General features: G+C 35.9%; 1 protein-coding gene across 58 annotated transcripts in view; it reads right to left on the bottom strand.

The window, feature by feature from the left end:
• IFT88 (intraflagellar transport 88) overlaps positions 1–23975 on the bottom strand; it is a 124288-nt gene that overhangs the window by 90644 nt on the left and 9669 nt on the right. For 42 of the 58 annotated variants that reach the window (NR_134653.2, NR_148462.2, NR_148464.2 and 39 more), the window contains 9 exons: positions 17782–17844; positions 10934–10990; positions 9781–9834; positions 9120–9183; positions 8397–8466; positions 4561–4651; positions 3682–3786; positions 2048–2150; positions 1236–1350 (listed from right to left, as the gene is read on the bottom strand). Coding sequence is in view for 52 of the 58 variants with exons in the window: in XM_047430655.1 (XP_047286611.1) it covers positions 1236–1350; positions 2048–2150; positions 3682–3786; positions 4561–4651; positions 8397–8466; positions 9120–9183; positions 9781–9834; positions 10934–10990; positions 17782–17844 (722 nt within the window). In the remaining 6 variants the exon portion in view is untranslated. The remainder of the gene's footprint in view (positions 1–1235; positions 1351–2047; positions 2151–3681; positions 3787–4560; positions 4652–8396; positions 8467–9119; positions 9184–9780; positions 9835–10933; positions 10991–17781; positions 17845–23975) is intronic. The other 16 variants (NR_148463.2, NR_148465.2, XM_024449413.2 and 13 more) reach the window with 2 other exon arrangements.

Genomic DNA, 23975 nt, shown 5'->3' with positions numbered 1-23975 from the left:
TTTGTGACGATCTATATTTTCATTTCTCTTGGGTATATACCTAAAAGCAGAATTGCTGGTCACATGGTAAATTTGTGTTTTAACTTTTTTAGCTAACTGCCTGTTTTCCGAAGTAGCTGCACCATTTGACATCTCAGTGAATGAGGTTTCTAATTTCTCTAAATACTCACCAAAACTTATTGTTTCTTTGATTGGAGCCATTCTAATGGATGTGATCCCACCTTATTTCTAAACACTCCTCAATATAATCCCTCTATTTCAACTCAATTAGTTTATTCATAATTCTCTGATCAGATCATAAAGACTATTATTTCCCTGACTGGTCTCAGGTGTTGCCTTTTTCTCAGATGTTATCCCTTCTCTCCTCCTAAAGAGTCAATATCAAGTATGCCTCCTTCATAAAGCCTTTCTTGATCATTCTTGTTCTCAATAATGATTTCTTCCACTGAATTATTATAGCACCCATTGTCTTGATTATTGATTATGAAGCACTTAATATATGTTACTCAATACAATTTTTTTTCTAAAATGCTCAAATTCTTGGTCTCACCTGGCTTAAAAGTACTTCAAGGGCATTGTGTTCTGTAAGTTAGATAATATTTGCTAATGATAATGAGATATTATGTAAAATTCAAAAACGAATGATCTTAAAAGATGGTATTGCAAATAAATTAACTTTCACAGAGAAACTGTACTGTGCCTAGGGGAAATTATGATCAGTAAATATCTTGGAAACTTCCTATGTCCCCACAGTTATCACTAGACCATAAGAGAACTTACTGTTTCTGCTCCTGAATATTATAATAGAAAATATCCCAGCTTCCCCCTCTTCTAAGACTCAGAAGTAATCCTTTTCTCTATTTCATTCTCAAGCTACAGCAAGAACGTAAGGGGAGCTTAATTTCTAGCCTTGTATTGATATGTTCTGGAGGACTGCTATTATGATTTTGTGTCCGCATTAAGTTATATCAGGGTAGTAATGGCCTTCAGGGTTAACCCCTTTATTGGTCACTTAGTTTTATTTCATATGATCATATACAATGCTTTAACCTTTAACTTGTCATTATAAAAATGTGTACAAGTAGTAAGAAGGGAACAGATCAAAATACTACACGTATAAATCTCATGTACAAACACTTTGAAATGTTCAACCCACTGAAAACAGGTCAGAAGAGTTATCTTGTTTCAGAAAAACACTTAAATTTTACAATTATTATCTATTGTTATAAACTTACCTCATTTGCTTATTGACACTTGGAACTTGGTCTAATGCCATTCGGTAGAATTTAATGGCTTTGGAATAATTTCTTTGCTTTAAATAGATATTTCCCATATTCATTTTCAATATTCCTAATTTAAAAAAATTTAATGAATGTATAATACTCTCATTTTTCCACTCTTTGATATTTTAGATGACTTTTAATTCATATTCTCTGAAGCATTTCTCAGTTATGAAGTCTCAGATATTATCTAAAATTCTAACTTTAAAACAGTTATACTTTTCAAACTTACCTCCTGTGAAGAAATGGAACTTAAGACAGATTCCTGAAACTATGGCTAGAAAACAACTGATTTACATTATTGTGCTTTACATTATTGTGCGTTCTTCTAAGAAAACATGGAACTTAAAGACATTTAAAAGTTAGACTCAAGAATGCCACATACATTTTAATAATATTAAAGGAAACGACATTCTGATAAACATTAATACTGCTACCAAAAAATTACACAATATAAATGCTAAATATAAACTATAATCTCTTGGGGATAAATTTATATAAGGAAAAGCACATTCTATGAGGATGTCATGGCTCATTCTACTTGTGATAACAGGATACTATTAGGCAATATACCTCATACTAACTATATTTCTTCATCTGTAAGGATTTTTATATAAATAGTATGTTTAAGCAGGATACCCCTATCATAAATACTGATTTGTTTAGAGCATAGATCATTTCATTTTAAGGAAGCATAAAATGAAGAGACATAAATTAACACTACGAAAGAATTACATCTATTGGAAAAACTGATTATGTACACTTACCTGCATTGCTAAACATCTTATTTTTGACTATAACTTGATAAGTGTTAAGTGCTTCGGCATACATTTCATTAACTGAATACTGACTGGCCAAATTGAAAAGAACCTAAGGAAGAAAATATTATAGAAAAGACACATAAGACCACTTTAGGCCCCTTTCACCTATAATCTTTCTAGAGATTAAAATCCTATAACAAAGTTAGCTACTTATATCAAGATACTCAGCCAATTATGAAATTAAGTAAACAAAAGAATTATCTTGCATTACAAATGAACATTAAGAAAAGAAGACCTGTCCTCTAAATTTCACCTTAATTTTCTATGTATTCTATTTAATTTAGTAGTATTTGCCATCTATTAATCTCTGGAGGACCTACAAAGAATAAATGTGTATCATTAATGCTGCTGGTGATCAAAGAAATAAGCAAGATCGTGAACTAAATATAAATTAAACGTGGAAATATCTTAAACCTTAAAGTCTATCAGAAGAATCTGTATAGTAAGCTCTATATACTAAATTACAATTTAAGTAATTAATTTATAGTAAATTATGTTCCTAAAGGTAAAAAATGATCATCATAAATTATCCCTGAAAGATTTCATGGAATCGTAGAGTATCAGCTATAAACAGTAAGCATCTAACACTTCAAAATTTCAAACGCCCTTTTTTTCCTATGTGTTTAGCATATGAAACCTTTACCCACTGAAAATACACCCTTTTAAACAGAAGTGCAAACATTATGGAGGTGTCTTTTCAGAATTAAATAAATGTTGCTAGAAATTAGAGGCATTAGTTTTTTTTCCCCACTACCCTCATAGAACATTATTTTATATGCCTAAAGTTCTTGAAAATCACTGACCGAAAAGTCTACATTACAATCTCATCAAAATAACCACCTTGATAGAGCATTAAAATTAGTGCTCTTCAAGAAATAGAGCCATTGCATGGTAGGTTTGCAGGTACTTACCAAGTTATCAAAAAAAAAATATATATATATATATTTTTTTTTTGAGACGGAGTCTCGCTCTGTCGCCCAGGCTCTGGAGTGTGGTGGCAAGATCTTGGCTCGCCGCAAGCTCCGCCTCCCGGGTTCACGCCATTCTCCTGCTCCAGCCTCCCAAGTAGCTGGGACTACAGGCGCCCGCCACCACACCCGGCTAATTTTTTGTATTTTTAGTAGAGATGGGGTTTCACCATGTTAGCCAGGATGGTCTCGATTTCCTGACCTTGTGATCTGCCCGCCTCGGCCTCCCAAAGTGCTGGGATTACAGGCGTGAGCCACGGCACCCGGCTACATATTTTTTAATAAATAGAGACGAGGTCTCACTATGTTGCCCAGGCTGGTCGCAAACTTCTGAGCTCACTCAGTAATCCTCCCACCTTGACCTCCCAAGGTGTTAGGATTACAGGCGTGAGTCACTGCACCCAGCCTAAAATAACTAGTTAAATAACTAAAGAAAAGAGCTCTTTGCACAAAACAAAGACAAGAGTGTTTTATGAACTAAAGATTATTATTAATCTAATTGTGAGCACCTGAAGACCAGTAAGATTTTAAAAATAAAAGAAAAAAGACTCTGGAACCCATTAACCCTAGTCAAAATTTTATTTAAAAATTGTGTTATATTTCAATACTTACTGAGTAAGTTAAATCCAAATTGATATTTTCTGGAGTTGTAACTTGTTCTCGCTGTCTCACCAGGACTCTCTCTTTTCTTCCTGCATCTTTTGCCTTTTCTAAGGCCTGAAATCAGATTTATACCTTGTAACTTCCTTTGAGTGTTCATCAACTTTTATGCATTTGAGAAATATCTACATGAAGGTTGGATGAATTCATTTTCTATCCTCAGATTCCTCAAGACACCCCTGTGTGCTCTTACCAGAAACTTCCCTTGGAAAGGGACTTTTTGTTTTTTAGAATGACAAAAAAAGCCCCAGTTCTATGAGTAGTAAAAGCAGCTTTTTAAAGTGAACATTTCTTTCTAATGGTATTCATTAATCCAATAACTCACAGAAATTATATTTATATGATATGACAATCAAAGTAACATGAACAAAGCAAATTAAAAGTAAAGATTGATATTTAAAAAGCCAAGTTAGATTCCCAAAAAGCAAACTAATTTTTTAGTTTACTTAGGAAAAAATATTTGATAGTAGAGAGACTTCAAGAAGAAAACAGCCCTTAGTACTGTGTGTGGCTCATGGTAGCTACACCTTTCAGCAGCATATTGCTATCTAATCCAATAGTCCACCAGGCTGCCAAGTTAAGTATACAAATACATTAGAATTTTTTTCCCTACTGAAAAGGCCAATGTCAAAAATTACAAAACCAGCCAATTATTCTGACATTCAAATTTATGAAACTGAGTTACAATTCCTGGTTCTCAAAATAATTGCTTCTTATCCTAAGACCAGTCAACGGCAAACAAAAATATTTGTCTATACATACGGTGTATGTATAAAAGCAGACATACATCTATAAATGCTTCATAATTTTGAATCTTGTTTATGAACTTACCAATTTTAAGTCTCCACAACTATTGGCAATACAGCTTTCTTCTACCAACTCATTTACTTCCTTCTCTAATTGCTTTATTTTTTCCTCTGGGCTATTAAAGACAAAAGCAGGTACAATTTAAATCATTCAACCTCTAAAAATCTATACTAAAATTTATTTTATTTTATTTTATTTTATTTTATTTTACAGACAAGGTCTTACTTGGTTGCCCAGGACGGAGTGCAGTGGCACAATCATAGCTCACTGCAGCCTGTAGTCTTGACTCCTGGGCTCAGGTCATCTCCTCCCACCTCAGCCTCTCAAGTAGCTAGGACTACAGGTGCATGCCACCATACATGAATAATTTTGTTTTTGTTTTTTGTAGTGACAGAGTCTCCTCATCTTGCCCAGGGAGGCTGGTCTTAAACTCCAGGCCTCAAGCGATCCTCCCTCCTCAGCCTCCCAAAGTGCTGGGATTACAGGTGTGAGCCACAACACCCAGCCTAATTTACTTTCAACATTGAACAATGTGCATTTAAACTTCAAGAATAGTTATAGATAAGACAAATGTATACATGGTATTAAAGAGCAAATGTAGTACTGTTTTTAACAACTACATCATGTAATTATTCATAATAGTAAAATAATAACAACAGTCAAGGTAGGTAACATGGCCAGGCGTGGTGGCTCCTGCCTGTAATCCCAGCACTTTGGGAGGCTGAGGCAGGTAGATCACTTGAGGTCAGGAGTTTGAGACCAGCATGGCCAACATGGTGAAACCCTGCCTCTACTAAAAATACAAAAATTAGCCAGGTGTTGGGGCAGGCACCTATAATCCCAGCTACTTGGGAGGCTGAGGCAGGAGAATATTGCTTGAACCTGGGAGACAGAGGTTGCAGTGAGTGATATTGCGCCACTGCACTCCATACTCCAGCCTGGGTGACAGAGCAAGACTCTGCCTCAAAAAAATAAAAAAAAATAAAAATAAACGACAGGTTCTTGCTATGTTGCCCAGGCTAGAGTGCAGTGGCTATTTACAGGCACAATCATAATGCACTACGGCTTGAACTCTTGGGCTTAAGCGATCTTTCTGCCTCAGCCTCCTGAGTAGTTGACACTATAGGCGTGCACCACCATGCCTGGCCATAGAGAAAGTTTCTAATGAGGTGAAGAAGTTTAAAAATCCTGGCTCTATTAATAGCAAATCAAGTATTCCCAAATCAGTTACCTTTCAAAATAACAGTAATGTTGTTTTGCTACCACTTTCTTTTGGCAAAATACAACAATACTCTGAATACACATCAATGCCTAAATAAAATTTTACTACTGCTATATCAGAATAGATAGTAGTTCTCTTAATTCTCTACAAATGGATTTTATAAAAGTATATAGAAATAAATTGAGCAGCATAACTTTTTCTATAAAATTATATTCTTTGAGGAAACCTGGGACTAAGACTACAAAGTTTATTAGTTTATAAAGATCTGTAAAATTCTAACTGAGCAGTAAGCATAATAGATGGTAGTTTTATGAAGGTTACATGAAGTATAGAATTCTATTTTCTAGTTGTCTGAAACACTTGAATGTATGTCTTAAATGTTGCTTACAGATTTTATTATTAAATTCAAAATATCAACATAGAATTTTAAACTTAAAAATCTGTAAGAGAACTTTATGAAGACACTGAAAGTAACTTACCCTGTCCCTATCAAATGCAAAAAAAATGCAATCTATATTCAGGCACTGTTGGCTACCTACCCACACAGAGCCTGCCACCCGCCCTTCTTCTTTGCATGCAGAATCTAAGCAAGTCAAGAGAATCTCATTCTCTTTGCCAAGTGTTTGGTTCAGCCACGAGCATTTGATGCATTCCACACTGAGAAATGAAGGCATATCTGCTTCAGGTACAGGGCTGCTAGAAAGATCTTCTTGGCTTTTTAAGAGACCTAAGACTAGGAACATTCTGCCTCTAGACTATATCAGTTACATGGAGATTTTGAACTCTCAACACTCTCTTGGCATCATAATGATCGGCAGGCGCTTGGGGAAAGCCAAGGGAAACAAAGAGAAGCTGGACCAGGGATGATGTTACTGAGCAGTTAAATTAACCATCCCCAGAACTTCCCTTCCTCCAGACTTCCTATTATGTGAGATAATAAATTTTCTTGTTAATTATGTATATGTCTTTTTTTTTTTTTTAAGTCTTTCTTTGAGACAGGGTCTCGCTCTGTCACCCAGGCTGTGGTGCAGTGGTATGATTACAGCTCACTGCAGCTACCACCTCCTGGGCTCAAGCCATCCTCCCACCTCAGCCTTCTGAGTAGCTGGAGCTACAGGTGTGTGCCACCATACCCAGCTAATTTTTTAATTTTTTTGTAGAGACGGGGTCTCGCTATGTTGCCCAGGCTAGTCTTGAACTCCTGGGCTCAAGTGATCCTCTCACCTTGGCCTCCCAAAAGGCTGAGATTATAGGCATGAGCCACCACGCCCGGCCTGTGTCCTTACTTTTTTTTAAACATGTTTTCTGTTATTAGCAGCCAAAAGGACCATGAATGACATAATATTTAAATAAAAAATGCTTTTATTAGCTAATGTGCTGTCATTAATTAAGATAAAAAATAACATGATTTTCTATAGAGGTTCCTTGCTAGTCAAAAATGGAAATTATGTAATTTACACGAAAGCCTAAATACTGGGTTTAAGAATTACAATTTAAATAAAAAAAAGAAACAAAAAAAAAGAATTACAATTTAAAAACATATATTCTATAGAAGCAAAACAGTATAGTGACTAATTCCAGTTCTAGTTCCAGAGCCCAAGCTCTGGAACTAGAAAAACTGGGTTTGAATCTAAGCCTTGTCATTTACTAGCCTTAGAAAGTTAAGATAGCTGGGCTTCAGCTCCCCTCTTTATAAACTAGTGAGAATAATAGCTCTGTTTTCATAGGGAAAGTACTTGGAAAAGTGCCTGGCACACAGCAAGGACTCAGTTAATGTTAGCTTTTATTACTATTTGTAAAATGTATACATCAAGGTACTTGGATACCAGCAGATGTATATAATTAAATGTATACCATAGCTTTTTGGCTACTGTCTAGCCACTAGCACTAAATTAAGTTTGTTCTATAAAAAATTAAATTTCTCAATAATATGACACATTAATTTCATATGTGTTCTCTTAATTTTTTCCCTTGAAATGTCCTCTCAAGATAATCATATCTTACAACATTTACAACCCCATTTGGCTGTCAGGAGACTCAATACTGGCCCTGATAAAAAATTAGACCATATCTTCAAGTCATATAATATCACAATAAAATTGCACAGAATACATATGGCTATTCTTAATTTTGTTAGTTCTGGCAACTAGGGATGATTTTTTGTTTACTACTCTGCTGACACAAACTTTTTAAAGATTAAGAATTATGTAATTCTTATGGAATTCACATAATTATGTAATTCTTATGGAAGTCACATAATTATGTAATTATGTGAGCTGGTGTGGTGGCTCACGCCTGTAATGCCAACACTTTGGGAGGCTGAGGTCGGCAGATCATTTGAGATTGGGAGTTCGAGACCAGCCTAGCCAGCATGGCAAAACCCCATCTCTACCAAAAATACAAAAATTATCTGGATGTAGTCGCAGGCACCTGTAATCCCAGCTACTCAGGAGGCTAAGACAGAAGAATCGCTTGAACCTGGGAGATGAAGGTTGCAGTGAGCCAAGATCGCATCACTGCACTCCAGCCTGGGCAACAGAGTGAGATATCATCTCAAAAAAAAAAATTGTGTATTTGGAAAATAAAAATTTAAAATATGCAGCAACAACAACAAACAACAACATAAGGACTTACATACCTATCTTTTTTCTTGGCTTCCAAAGGGGAAGCAGGGCCCCTTGACTGACTAAGGGGGTCAAATGCAGAGCCTGAGACACAATTCAAGAGTTAATATTCAATTTGTAACTCAGCAAAATCGAAGAATATATGAAAATATAAAACCTCGCATAAGCTATTTCATTTACCTCTTTATTAAATGGTTTCAATTATCTATTTATTAAATGGAGATAACATTGTGTCTACATAAACATTTCATATACTGGGAAATTGGTAAGATTTTTAACACACATAAAGCTATGTAAATAATACGTGTGTTAAACTTAAAAACAAAAATAAGATATTCTCAGCATTTACTTTCTCTTCCACAGTGATCTATCTCTATTATCAACTCTAAATTATCAGTCACATGTCTTATAACCTGCTATTGGCTTTTTAATTTTCCTTATTGGCATACCAAACATTAATTTTTGTTATAATTTTATTTTTAAATTATCATTTAACTTTTTACATATTATTTCAATGCATTTTGACAAATTACACCATGGTTTAATTACCACCCCAACAGATATGTAGAAGGTTTTCATCATCCTTTTCCTTTCTTAATGGTACCTAAAATATCAGTGCATCTTATAATCAATGGCATTGTTAGATTTTATTTAAAATGACAGTAATATTTATATCACAAAATGATAAAAGATTAAAAGATCCAAAAAAGATTATTAGTAGAGACAGTGTAACAAACCTCTCAAAGCTGCTTTGGTAAAACCAGCTGCTCTCACTGCTGTCATGGGTCTAGTAACTCCATCCTTTAAAGAGAATGGGAATCATTTATTCTTAAATAAGATCTATCTCCTATGTACAGTTCTGCACATTACACACACCTTAATATAGCCCTATTTAAAAAAATGCTGATTTTCAATCACTATACGTTTACTCCTTACTTCTACCTCCTCATGTATCAATCATGTCCTCTCTCACCTTTACAATTTCAATTCTTTGATGTAATTGGGCTATAGTTTTAAAAAAAATTAATCAGCTTATTAGCCAGCTACTCTCTTACTTTTGGTTGGTCTCTTACATGCCTATGAGAGAAACCACAGAAATTGTTGTAAATGGTAACAGGAAAAATGGGCCCCAGAATACATCATATAAGCAATTATCAGTTCTATGTCCACACCCCAATGGGAATTCATTTGATACCTGAGTAAATAAATCTAAAGAGACTTCGCCTTCAAAGATTTACAACAGTGTAGACTTTAGCCCACAATTTAAAGAATCTGGGTCACTATATAAGTAATATCTTCTTTAACATTTTAAAATAATATAATAAAGTAAAAAAACTTTGGTAGTAAATTCCAAGTCACAAGAAAGGCACAAAATGAACATGCATCCAATAGAGATACCTGAATAGCCCCTGTCATTGGTCTTCCTATTGATGATGCCAGAGATGTCTTGGACTAGTAAACAGAAAAGTTAAGTTAAAAAGATTCCTAAAAATATCTGCCTTAAATGTTTAAACCAAGTTATAGAAGTTTTCTTCATTCTATCGGCAAATAAACAAACATAATTTATTCCTTGTACCTCCTGGGCGTATAGGGTAAAACCATAAAACTATAAAACAGGGAGCAGCAAACTACAACCCATGGTCTTTGTAAATAAAGTTTTACTGGAACATAGCCATGCCCCATTCCTTTGCACATTGCCTGTGGCTGCTTTTGCTTTACAAATGCAGAGTTGGATAGTAGCAACAGAGAACATATGATCTGCAAAGCCTAAAATATCTAGCCCTTCATGGAAAAAGTTTGCTCTTTTTCTGAAACACCACCAAAAATCAAATTTATGAGTAATACACACTCAGGCTAACTAATAAAAGCATGTTTAATATGACACACGTTTATATTATGTACAAGGCTACTTTCTTCACTCATATAAAGGAACATTATAAAGGCAAGTGCCCTGGACCTCTAGGTTCTGAAGATATTTTTTTGACTAAGAAAAGCTATTCCACCTAATTCTTCCATTTTTCTCATTCCTGTTATTTCATATAAGCTAAAACATCCAAATTACAGGTAATTTGAACAAGATTAAAAAGTTTATAACTTTTATAGAGTTTGATATATCTTTCCTCCAAAGGCTTCTAATATAAGACCCAAATACACACTTCTGAAACACTTTTCTTACATTTTATATTTGTTAATTAGTAAATGTTTCCCAATTATATACACTATTACATTTATGTAAAATCTAACTTCACATAAAATATATGAATGGAATACACGAGACTTGGTTGTATCATGTAGAAAATGAAAGGACGTCAACGAACACAGGGTTTACAAATGGAAAAAGGTTAATAAAATATTTTCCAATACTTACAAATCAAAATGACAATATTCAAATTTATTAATCACACTAGACTTGTATAATGTTTGTAAGTATCCAAAATAGAAAATATATTTGGATTATGACCTAAGATATAATAAAATTATTCAGAACTGCCTAAAGTGAACTATTGTATGAGAAAAAGCATCTTAATATTTTCAGCTTACAAAAACCTACCCCATATCCAGTAGCTATAGGTCTAGTAACTGCCGTGCTTGATATTTTAGCAGTTATCTTGGGGAGGAAAAAGAACATAGTTAACAGGATTCAGACTGAGCTATATAATAGAAAACTGGAAAAGAAATAGAAAATATAGACTCATAAATAAAGAAATATTTATATAATACTTAGAATGATTTCTTTTAAATTATCTTAAATATTAGGGAGCTCAGGTATTTTAATTATGTGAGAAGGAGACTCATTCTGGAATTCATTTTAAAGGAGAAAGGGGACTTTTGAACGATCTGAGGTGCCGATAAGAAAGATTTGTTTTCATGCTTGCAACCATCACGAATTAAACATTTTATTGCATAATTATTACTGCTAGCCACTAGGCCAAACAATAGACACAAGATTTGGGGTCTGAGAACTTGGGTTTGAATCTCAGCTATCCCTATAACAGATACCTTTATTTAATCTCTTTGAACCTACAGTTTTCTCATCTTTTAAATAAGAATACAAAGTATACGGATCACAAAATTGTAGTTAGAATCAAATAGGAGCACATCGATGAAAGTATACTAAAAATGTTAGTTGTTAGGCAGAACTGTTAGAAATATTTATTAAATATCACTCACAGAGGAATTCTACTTTCAGCTATGATGGACTGTTTTTAAAAACCTTCTCATTAAGAACTATTAAAAAATATACATGGGGTCAAAATATTTTTTTTTAAGTGTGAATACATTAGAGACCCAACAAGACAGTGAAGAATTACAAGGTCTGAAAATAACGAAGAGATGGGAAGGCTAGAGAGGTGAGCCCACATTTAGGCCTGCTTTCCTCCTAGAGGCATCTGTTAATTCCAAAGACAAGTCTGAGACACTGGACACAGCTTTTGAGACTCACAGCCTGAAGGGATAAACACTGGTGATGAGGGCCTGCCAAGAACGCAGCCCCGGTAATCCTCCAGGCTTCAGATTGTGATCTCAAAAGGCTACACCCTAAGACTAAAAGGTAAATAATAGTATACTAGCCCTCATAAGGGCTGACATCCAATTCAGAATCATCTCAAACCCGACTGGATTAAGGTGACCATGGATTCCTACTGCTGCTAGTACCATAAGTAAAAGTAAATTCTCTCCAGTGAAAGATAAGATCCTCTAGCACTGTGCTATCCAATAAACTTTCTGTAGTGATGTAAAAGTTCTATATCTGCCCTTTCTGATAAGACAGCCATTGGCCACACAAGGCTGTTAAACATATGAAATGTAAGTAGTACAACAAGAATTTATTTATTTTAGTTTTAAATAATGTAAATGTAAATAGTTTCATGTGGCTAGTGTCTCTCATACTGAGTAGTGCAGACATAGAGCCATAAAGTATCTCTAAAATTTTTCATTTATAATGTCTCTCAATTAAAACCAACCAGACATACAAGAGGCAAGACTACCTAACCAAAAGCCAAGATAAACAAAAGAATAGAAAGAAACTCAGAAGTGGGTACATATAATGCAAATATCACACATAGACTTTAACATAACTATGCTTAACATGATCAATAAATTAAAAGATTAGTAATAGCAACGGAAAATGAACTAAAAACTATAAAAAAGGAATATACATGGAAATTCTAGAACTGAAAAATAGCTAAAAATAATATAAAATCCTGGCACTGTCCAGGCAGTAGTAAAACTGTTAATTTATACTAGACTTTAAAAAGTTAGAGATGAGTATCATAATATTTAGGGAAACACTAAAAGAATAGTCAGAGAACGTAAACTACCAAGATAACAGAAAAAGAAAATGGAATAATAAAAAACAAGCAAAAAAGAAGGCAAGTAAGGAGAGAAAATGAAATATACAAGAGCCAGGAAAAAAAAAAAAAAGCAAATAGTAAGATAGCAAATTTAAAGGAAATCAGTAACTTCATTAAATGTAAGTGGAATAAATACTTAACTAAAATAATAAGATTGTTAGACTATTAAAAAAATAAAAACCAATCACACGCTGCTAATAAGAATTACATTTTAAATAAATTGATACGGAAAAGTTGGAAGTAAAAAGACAGGAAAGACATACAATAAAAATGCTAGACAAAGAGCTTGTATAGCTATAACAACATATTAATATCTTACAAACAGACAAAAAGCATTACTAGAGATAGAGGCATACTTCATAACAATATAAGGCTCAGTTTACTATGAAAATATAGCAATTCTAAATATCTTTGCTCCATATATATAAAGCAAAAACCTAAAAAAAATACAAACCCACAACGAGAGTACAAGAATTGATCACGCTTTCTCATTAAAAATAGAACCAGTAGGCCAGACGCAGTGGCTCATGCTTGTAATCCCAGCACTTTGGGACACTGAGGTGGGTGGATCACCTGAGGTCAGGAATTCAAGACCAGCCTGACTAACATGGTGAAACTCCGTCTTTACTAAAAATACAAAAATTAGCCAGGTGTGGTGGCTCACGCCTGTAGTCTCAGCTACTCAGGAGGCTGAGGCCCGAGAATTGCTTGAACCCAGGAGGTGGACGTTGCAGTGAGCCAAGGTCATGCCACTGTACTCCAGCCTGGGCAAAAGAGTGAGACTTGGTCTCAGAAAGAAAGAAAAAAAAAAAGCAGTAGGCAAACAAAATATCAGTAAAAATATTGAACATCTAAACAAAACCATTAACACACTTTACCTAATTGACATATTACACTGTACCCATCGTGGAACATATATATTCTTCAAGAATGCATTTGGGACATTAACAGATTTCAAAAAATTGAAAGCATACAGATTATGTTCCCTATCTAAGAATAAAACTAGAAATCAGTAACACAGAGATAACTAGAAAAATGTATTGTTTGGAAATTAAATATACTTCTAAATAACCCACAGGTCAAAGAAGAAATACCCATGGAAATTAGAAAATATTTTGAACTAAATCATAAGGAAAATGTAATTAGAGGTTAAAAAAAATGGGAAAAAACATACATATATGTTAATTCTGTAGGAAAACAAATGTCTGAATTGTAGGTGATAACATATAAAGTTGTTAGGTGAACTTTAGACATTGGAAGGTATTTTAATTTGTATACATGTTTCAGGGCTTAAACTCATGCTTGATAAGATTGGCTCCAGGTCTTAAGAAAAAACTGAAAAGGAAGGATATGGGTCTCTGCAACTTCTTCCATGAGAACCAACTGAGGGGAAGACCATTATTTTTTTAACTACTGCCTAATGACTAAATCTCATTTTTGTGTTTTGTTGTTAGCATTGGGCAGCTCCTACACTCTCTTCCCTCATTCATCTTGTACCCTTATCTGCAATGCCCTTTTCTCCTGATCTCAAGGTCAATCTCAATTCTACATATCCCGTAATAATCAACTCTTAATTTATCTTCTAAGCAATCTCTTCTGACTTTCCCAACTAGTGGTAAATAACCTCTCTTTTAAATTCCACAGCAATTTATACTCTTTTATTATAATTTATTACTTCATGCCTTGTAATATCTAAGTGTGTCCATTTAATTTGCCTTCTGAAGACTGTAAGCTCCTTAGGAGCAACCTAGAATTTTGTCCTCTTAAGTGAACCTGTAAGATGTTTCATATGACAAGTATAAAACTTTTTCCCATGTAATATAACAAGTAGGATGTGATGAAAATATCATTCAACAGAGGATCAAATGACCCACACACTATCCCAGTTACAGATAACTGTGAGACCTTGGCTTTTCTAGGCTTCAGTTTCCTCATCTATAAAATAAGAATCTCCAAAGTCATTTCTAAAGATCTTTTGAAGGCCCACCTGGCAAAATTATCACCTGTTACGTGATCCCTGAAATCACTTAATTAAAGACAAAGTTCACTGATTTACTAAGTTAGTCAATAAAGATGTATGGAACACTTAAGTAGACAAGCAAAAGAATGATGAATAAGATAATCTGCCTCTTTGAAAAGCTTACAGTCTAATCACTAGCCTAGTGCAAGGACTCAGAGCCTATGGTTTTTCTTCCCGTAATGAAGGTAACTTCAAAATTAAAATATGGGTTGTAAAAGAATTAAACAAATAAATAAAATATGGGTTTTAGAATGTGTAGTGAAGAATTAACTTTACTCAAAGAGAGGTCTGGCCTCTGTTGTTGGCTCCTAGGAAATGATTTCTACACCCCTGAAATGCTCTGCCTGACGGGAGTGTCTTTGTTTGCCCTGGCTTTGGCCACTGGTCAGTCTATCAATGTGATTCACAATGGGAGCTTTGGGACACATCAGCTTCTGGAGTTACTAGCCTGAACCTCCGGGACTAGAGACTAAAGGTTGGCCTGGTGGGTGGTATGTGATCAAGCCTCAGTAAAAACTCTGAATGCCAAAGTCTAGAGTAGGATTCCCTGGTTGGCAATACTCTTCAAGTACTGTCACACTGTGGTTAGGAAAAGGTACTGCCATGTCTTGCTCCACAGGGAGAGGACAATCAGAAGCTCTCTGTTTGGACCACTCCTAGGCCCTGCTCTATGCATCTCTTCCCTTGGTGGATTTTAATTTGTATCTTTCCCATGATTAAACTGTAAGTATAGGAGATTTCAGTGAGTTCTTTGAGTCTTTCCAGAGAATTATCAAGCCTGAGGATGGTTCTGGGAACCATGAACTTGCAGTTGGTGTCAGAAGTGGGAGTGGTCTTGTGGAGGACTGACTGTGTCCTCTACCTGTGCAGTGATTTAGCCAAACTCATTGCAAGGAACCACACTAAATGCATTTACCCCAAATGAGATGGGCAAGCTACTCACAATGATTTATTTTTGCTAGATAAGTACGTAGGACAGGGAGGACGGGAGAACATGACAAAGTGAGGGAAGATAACAGCAGAAGGACACTTCATCTAAAGCAAAGGAGTTTCGGCTGGATAGCTCTTTATTACCGGGGGCTGCCCTATGCATTGTAGAATGGTTAGCAGCATCTCTGGCTGCTACCCACTAGGTGCCAGTAGCACCCACTCAAGTTGTGACAACTGAAAATATCTCTCCAAGCATTGCTCAATGTCCCTGGTGGGGGGGCACAAGTGCCCCCCGCTGAGAGCCACTGCTGTATAGTATTAGATAGGTAGGGAGAAGCAGCATTCCAAAAAGGAATATTAGACATAGAACATTAGGGATAGAACTTTCTCTACTTCACTACTGAGTGTCAACCTTGTTTATTTTCAACTACAAACAAAGCTTGGCAGATTTCATGCACTGTGAAAGGCAGATGTCTATGCTTTGTATGACACATACAAAAACCTTAATACTAATACTGAAAAAAACTACTCTAGCAATTCATGTACTCGTAGAAAATTAATTGAGTATTAATTAATATTAATACAAGGAAGGGTAATCTGTAAATTAAGCCCCAATGTTTTGAGGGATCAATATTTATGCCACTTTAAAAATTAGAAAAGCAAATATTTTTAAAACAATGAATTTTTAGGTAAACAATATTCTGATGCCTAATAAAAATATTTAGTTTGAATAACATAAGAAATCATTTGATCTCAAATACTTTAAAATTCACTTACTAGATACACTGAAAACTACAAAACATTGATGAATTAAAGAAGACATAAACAAATGGAAAGGCATCCTGTGTTCATAGGTTCATAGACTGAAAGACTTAATATTGTTAAGATGTCCATACCACCCAGTGTATTCAATACAATCCTTATCAAATCCTTACTATCCAAATGACATTTTTTTTTTTTACAGAAATAGAGATTCATCCTAAAATTCATATGGAATATCAAGGGACCCCAAGTAGCTAAAACAACTGTGAAAAAGAACAAAGTTGGAAGGTTCACATTTCCTGATTTTAAAACATATTATAAAGCTACACTAATCAAAACAGTGTGGTTACTGGCATAAAGGCAGACAAATAGACCAATAGAACAGCATAGAAAGCCCAGAAACAAACCCTTACATATATGGTTAAATGATCTTCAACAATGGTACCAAGACCATTCAACAGGGAAGGGACGGTCTGTACAGCAAATAGTGTTGGGAGAACTAAATATCCATGTGCAAAATAATGAATTTGGACCTTTATCTTATACCATATATAAAAATGAACACAAAATGGATTAAACATCTAAAGGTAAGACCTAAAACTACAAAAAATGCTAGAAGAAAACATAGGGGAAAAGCTTCATGACATTGTTCTTGGCAATTATTTCTTGAATATGACACCAAAAGCACAAGCAACACAAGTAAAGATGGACAATTGGGACTACATCAAACTAAAAAACTTTGGTGTATCAAAGGACACATCAGTGTGAAAAGCAATCTACAAAATGAAAGAAAATATTTGCAAATCAGACATCTGATAAGACATTAATATCCAGAATATATAGAGAACTCCTACAACTGAATAACAAAAATGAACAAGTGTTCATTGACAGATGAATGAATAAACAAAATGTGGTATAAACATACAATGGAATACTATTCAAACTTAAAAAGGAAGGAGATTCTGTCACATGCTACAACATGGATGAACCTTGAGGACATTATACTAAGTGAATAAGCCAGTCACAAAAAGACAAATACTCTGAGACTCCACTTATGTAAGGTATCTAAATTAGTCAAATTCATAGAAATAGAAAGTAGAATGGTAGTTACAGGAGCTTTGGAAGTAGGAGAAAATGGGAAGTTTTTGTTTAATGGATACAGACTTTCATATATACAAGATGAAAAACTTCTGAAGATCTGTTTCACTACCATCTAAACTTAATGATGGTTATAATCTTTAACACTACAGGAATATACAGGTGAAAATGGTTAATCTGGTAAATTTCATGTTATGTATTTTTTACCACAATTTAAAAAAAATTTTTTTCACTTACTGGAGGTCTTCTGCCATGACTAGTCCTCACAGCTTGCTGAAAAGCTGCATCATTCTCCAATTCCTAAAATGAAAACGCAAATTTAACATTCAACACAGAGTAAGAATTGGGGGAAAAAATAAGTTTAAACTGCTGTTTGGTACTCAAGAGCCTCTATAACTCATCTATTGCCAACTGTTGACATCTAGGACTCCTACCTCAAATCTCCCCACTTCACACTACCCAGAATAGCAAACCTCCTTCCTCTCCCAGAATGAGGAGTACCGGTCATGTTAGTCAATTTTATGGACATCTTATTGGCTACAGTTTTAATGAGTGGTATCACAGTGCCGGGTTGAAACATCAAGTATACAAGGATGTGGCCTTTCTTCTGTTTCTTTTTTCCTGGTGGCTTGGAATTGGAGATTTACATCTCTCTTTCTCTCTCTCTCCCCACCATCCCCCTGTCTTTCTCCTCTTCTCCCACCCTACCTCAGGATAGAAAAGGCCATATTTTCTACAAGCAGGGGGCACTCTCTTTGGTGCCATTTCCATCTGCCCAAATGAAAAGGATTTTTCATCTCACTGGAGAGGTCAAGTCTGAGACGCAGACTGGAGCTAATCTAAGCAAATGGGGGGGCTCAACAAGTCCAACCTGCACTGCCATTTGGAATCAACATCTCAGTAGAAATAAAATGTTATTTTGCTTTGCTGATTCCTGAAATGTACTTACATTCCCCTTCAGGAAATTTGAGGAAAAGAACAGTAATCAAGGGCAGGATATAAGGGTTCCTGTGTTTCCTGAACAAAATACCATTTTTATAGTCTCTCAAAAGCACCCAGTCTCACCAACAGTCAATCTTCCAACCATCCCGTATTTCCTACTTCCCCTTCTCTAACACACACTCCGGCTTTAACCCTTCAGACACATTAAATGCAGTTCTCATCCTTGCCTCTGATTTATTTCAATCTACTTCCCACAAAAATACACACTTGTCAATTATTTTAAAAATAAACAATACAAAAAAAAATAAAGTCACTATCAATTAACTTTTTAAAAATTTGAAAATAATCAAAATAAAATGTTTATATTACCAGGATGCTAATACAGTGCTTTTAAAACACAGTTTTATTGCATACAAGTCTTCTTAATTTTTACTTTAAATTATCTTTTTTTTTTTTTTTTTTGAGACAGGGTTTCACTCCAACCTCCAAGCTGGAGTACAGTGGTGCGATCACAGCTCACCGCAGCCTCAACTTCCCAGGCTCAGGTGATTGTCCCACCTCAGTCTCCCTAGGAGCTGGGACTACAGGCACACACTACCACAACCTGCTAATTTTTGTATTTTTTTAGAGACAGGATTTTGCCGTGTTACCCAGGCTGGTCTCAAACTGAGCTCAAGTGATCCACCCCTGAGCCTCCTAAAGGGATTACAGGCATAAGCCGCTGTGCCCAGCCTAAATTATCCTTGTAACCTTCCATATCAACTACATAAAATTACACGATTCTCAGTTACCCATAGAAACTAAAGACTTTTGAATGAAGTATAAATCCAAAGGTAACCTTCAACATAATTTATTATACTTCTACTTTAGCAGATCTTTGGGTAAAAAAATTTCCCTTAAGATTCCTAAATTATTAGTAAAATTTGGTTAATCAGCTCAGTAAATCCTAACTAAATGACAAACTAAAAAGGACAGTCAACAAATTCTCCAATTACAAACACCAAACTTATACAACTTTTGGAACTCTTTGCCACTTTGTTAACAAATTGCATCTTCTATGAATATCTTAAGCCACTGCTGCAAGTAATTCATTTATTTATTGAACTTGTTATTATTACAGTTAAGATCAAAGAAAACCAAGCATAAGCCAAAAATTATTTTTACTTCACTGTCTAATTTATTTTTGGGTCTGATATTCTGAGTATTCACTTCACATTAAATTATGCAGCCACAGTGCAACAACCTGAGGAGGTAGGAAGTGTCCCTGGTGCTTTAAAAATAATAATCTTCAGGCCGGGGCGGTGGCTCATGCCTGTAATCCCAGAACTTTGGGAGGCTGAGGTGGGCGGATCATGAAGTCAGGAGATCGAGACCATCCTGGCTAACACGGTGAAACCTCATCTCTACTAAAAATACAAAAAATTAGCCAGGCGTGGTGGCGGGCGCCTGTAGTCCCAGCTACTCAGGAGGCTGAGGCAGGAGAATGGCATGAACCTGGGAGGCGGAGCTTACAATGAGCAGAGGTCGCGCCAATGCACTCCACCCTGGGCTACAGAGCGAGACTCCATCTCAAAAAAAAAAAAAAAAAAAGAAAAAAGAAAATCTTCATGATCCATGATCCATTAATTCCATTTCTGGGACTCTATCCCAGGTAGTGTTTGATCAAAACATAGAAAATTATTTATGCATAAATTTTTTCACTACAATGTTATCTACAATAGCAGAAAACAGGAAAAAATATCCTATCATGAGAAAATACTTCTTTAGGTTTTTTTATTTTTTTTGAGAGGGACTCTTGCTCTGTTGTGCAATGGCGTGATCTTGGCTCATTGTGCAATGGCGTGATCTTGGCTCACTGCCACCTCCACCTGCTGGGTTCAAGCTATTCTCCTGCCTCAGCCTTCCAAGCAGCTGAGATTACAGGTGCCCGCCACCACGGCTGGCTAATTTTTGTATTTTAGTAGAGACAGAACTTCACCATGTTGGTCAGGCTGGTCTTGAACTCCGGACCTCAGATGATCTGCCCACCTCAGCCTCCCAAAATGCTGGGATTATAGGTGTGAGTCCCCGCGTCTGGCAGAGAAAATACTTCTAATCACCTATATATTTTCAATATTATGTAGTCATTAAAGTAATATTCAAATATTTAGTATCATGAGACACTGCTTATGATGTAGTTGAATGTAAAAAAGTAAACAGAAAAGTAATTACTAGTTCAATTCCAAACATACTAAAAGAAAATTGTGTATGTATACATGAAGGAAAGACAAAGCACAAAAATGTTTAAAATGTTGACAGTAGTTATTTCTTGAGTGATGGGATTACTAGTTTTTGTTTCCATAAGCATTTCTTAATTTTATAATTGGGAGAATGAGGAGGTTTCAATGGTTTTCCTGATTTATACTAAATTCCCTTGAAGGAAAGAACCCAGCCATGGCAGGATTCGTCACTGCTGAATAAAGGGCCCTTGGGTCCTGAATAATCAGCAGCAATAACCAGGTAGTACATACAGTGGGACTTGGGTGAGACTCTGAGATCTACTGGTTTCAGGTGTGACCCAGCACATTCACAGCTGTGGTGGCTACAAAGAGAGACTGCTTCTGTTTGAGATGAGAAGAGGGGAGAGTAAAGGGGACTTTGTCTTGCAACTTAGGTATCAGCTCAGCCACAGTGGGTTAGAGCATCAAGTGGGTTCTTAGGGTCCCTGATTCCAGGCCTTGGCTCTTGGGTAGCATTTCTGGACCTACCCTGAGCCAGAGGGACACCCACTGCCTTGAAGGGTGAGTCCCAGGCCTGGCAGAATTCACCAAAACCTGAAGGAATAGCCCTTGGGCCTTAAGTAAACATTGGCGATACCCTGGTAGTACTCTCTGCGGGTCTGTTGTGGTGACAGACACAGGAGAGAATCTGCTGCCTGGGGAAAAGGGTGGAAAGAGTGGAAAGGACTTTGTCTTACGGTTCAGTGCCAGCTCAGCAGCAGCAGAAGAATAGAGCACCAAGCAAATTTCTAAGGATTCTGACTCCAGGCCCTGGCTCCCAGACAGCATCTCTGGACCCACCCAGGGCCCAGGGGAACTGGTTGACTTAAGGGAAGGATACAAGCCTGGCTGGTTTCACCAAAAGCTGTGGGATACAGTGAAAACAGTATTAAGAGAGAAGTTTATAGTTATAAGTGTTTACATCAAAAAAGAAGAAAAACTTCAAATAACCTAATGATGCATCTCGAACTAGAAAAGCAAAGCAAACCAAACCCAAAGAAAATAATAAATATCAGAGCAGAATAAATGAAAATGAATCAAAGACAACAATACAAAAGATCAACAAAACAAAAAGTTGGTTTTGTGAAAAGATAAAATTGACAAACCGTTAGCCAGACTAACTACAAAGAAAGAGAGAAGACCAAAATAAGTAAAATCAGAGATAAAAAAGGGACATTACAACTGATACCATAGAAATGTGAAGGATCGGCTGGATGCGGTGGCTCACACCTGTAATCCCAGCACTTTGGGAGGCCTAGGCAGGCAGATCTTCTGAGGTCAGCAGTTCAAGACCAGCCGAACCAACATGGTAAAACCTCATCTCTACTAAAAATACATCATTAGCCGGGCGTGGTGGCACATGCCTGTAATCCCAGCTACTTGGGAGGCTGAGGCAGGAGAATCACTTGAACCCAGGAAGCAGAGGTTGCAGTGAGCTGAGATTGCACCATTTCACTCCAGCCTGGGCAACCAGAGCGAGACTCTGTCTCAAACAACAACAACTACAACAAAACCAGAAATTTGAAGGATCATTAGAAGCTACTATGAGCACCTATATACCAATAAATTGAAAACCTAGAAGAAAGAGATAAATTCCTAGACATATACAACCTACCAAGATTGAACCATGAAGAAATCCAAAACCTGAACAGACCAATAAGAAGTAACAAGACTGAAAAAAAAAAAAAAAAAAAAAAAGTAACAAGACTGGGCCAGGCTCAATGACTCACGCCTGTAATCCCAGCACTTTGGGAGGCCGAGGCGGGCTGATCATGAGGTCAGGAGATCGAGACCATCCTGGCTAACACGGTGAAACTCTGTCTCTACTAAAAAAAATACAAAAAATTAGCCAGGCGTGGTGGCAGGCACCTGTGGTCCCAGCTACTCGGGAGGCTGAGGCAAGAGGATGGCGTGAACCTGGGAGGCAGAGCTTGCAGTGAGCTGAGATTGCACCACTGCACTCCAGCCTGGGCTACAGAGTGAGACTCCATCTGAAAAAAAAAAAAAAAAAAAAAAAAAAAAGAAGTAACAAGACTGAAGCCACAATAAAAAGTCTCCCAGCAAAGAAAAGCTCGGCACCTGATGGCTTCACTGCTGAATTTTACCAGACATTTAAAGAAGAACTAATATAAATCCTACTCAAATTACTCCAAAAAACAGAGAAAGAGGAAATACTTCCAAACTCATTCTATAAGGCCAGTATTACCGATACCAAAACCTGACAAAGATGCATCAAAGAAAGAAAATTATAGACCAACATCCCTGATGAACATTGATGCAAAAATCCTCAATAAAACACTAGCAAACCAAATCCAACAATACATTAGAAAGATCATTCATCATCACCAAGTGGGATTTAGCCCAGGGATGCAAGGATGGTTCAACTTATGCAAATCAATCAATGTAATACATCATATCGACAGAATAAAGAACAAAAACCACATGATCATTTCAACTGATGCTGAAAAAGCATTAGGTAAAATTCAACATCCCTTCATAAAAACCCTAAAAAAAAACTGTGTATAGAAGAAACATACCTCAACGTGAAAAAAGTCATGTAACAGACTCACAACTAATATACTGAATGAAAAAAAACTGAAAGCCTTTCCTTTAAGATCTGGAACATGCCAAGGATGACCACTGTCACCACTGTTATTCAACATAGTACTGGAAATCCTAGCTAGTGCAATCAGGCAAGAGAAAGAAATAAAGGGCATCCAAACCAGAAAGGAAAAAGTCAAATTACCCTAGTTTATAGATGATATGATCTTATATTTGGAAAAACATAAAGACTCCACCAAAAAACTATTAGAACTGATAAATTCAGTAAGGTTGCAGGATACAAAATCAACCTACAAAAATCAGTAGCATTTCTATATGTCAAAAGTGAACAATCTGGAAAATAAATCACGAAAGTAATCCCATTTAGAATATCTACGAATAAAATTAAATATCTAGAAATTAACTTAACCAAAGAAGTGAAAATATCTACAATGAAACCTATAAAACATTGGTGCAAGAAACTGAAGAGGACATAAGAAAATGGAAAGATGTTTCATGTTCATAGATTGGAAAAACCAATATTGTTAAAATGTCCATACTACCCAAAGTAATCTACAGATTCGGTGCAACACCTATCAAAATACCAATGTCATTATTCACAGAAACAGAAGAAAACATCCTAAAGTCTATATAGAACTACAAAAGACCCAGAATAGCCAAAGCTGTCCT

This window comes from Homo sapiens, chromosome 13, assembly GCF_000001405.40.
Source record: "Homo sapiens chromosome 13, GRCh38.p14 Primary Assembly".
NCBI lineage: Eukaryota > Metazoa > Chordata > Mammalia > Primates > Hominidae > Homo > Homo sapiens.
Note: the sequence above shows the minus strand (reverse complement) of the source record. Positions and strands in the feature narration are given on the sequence as shown.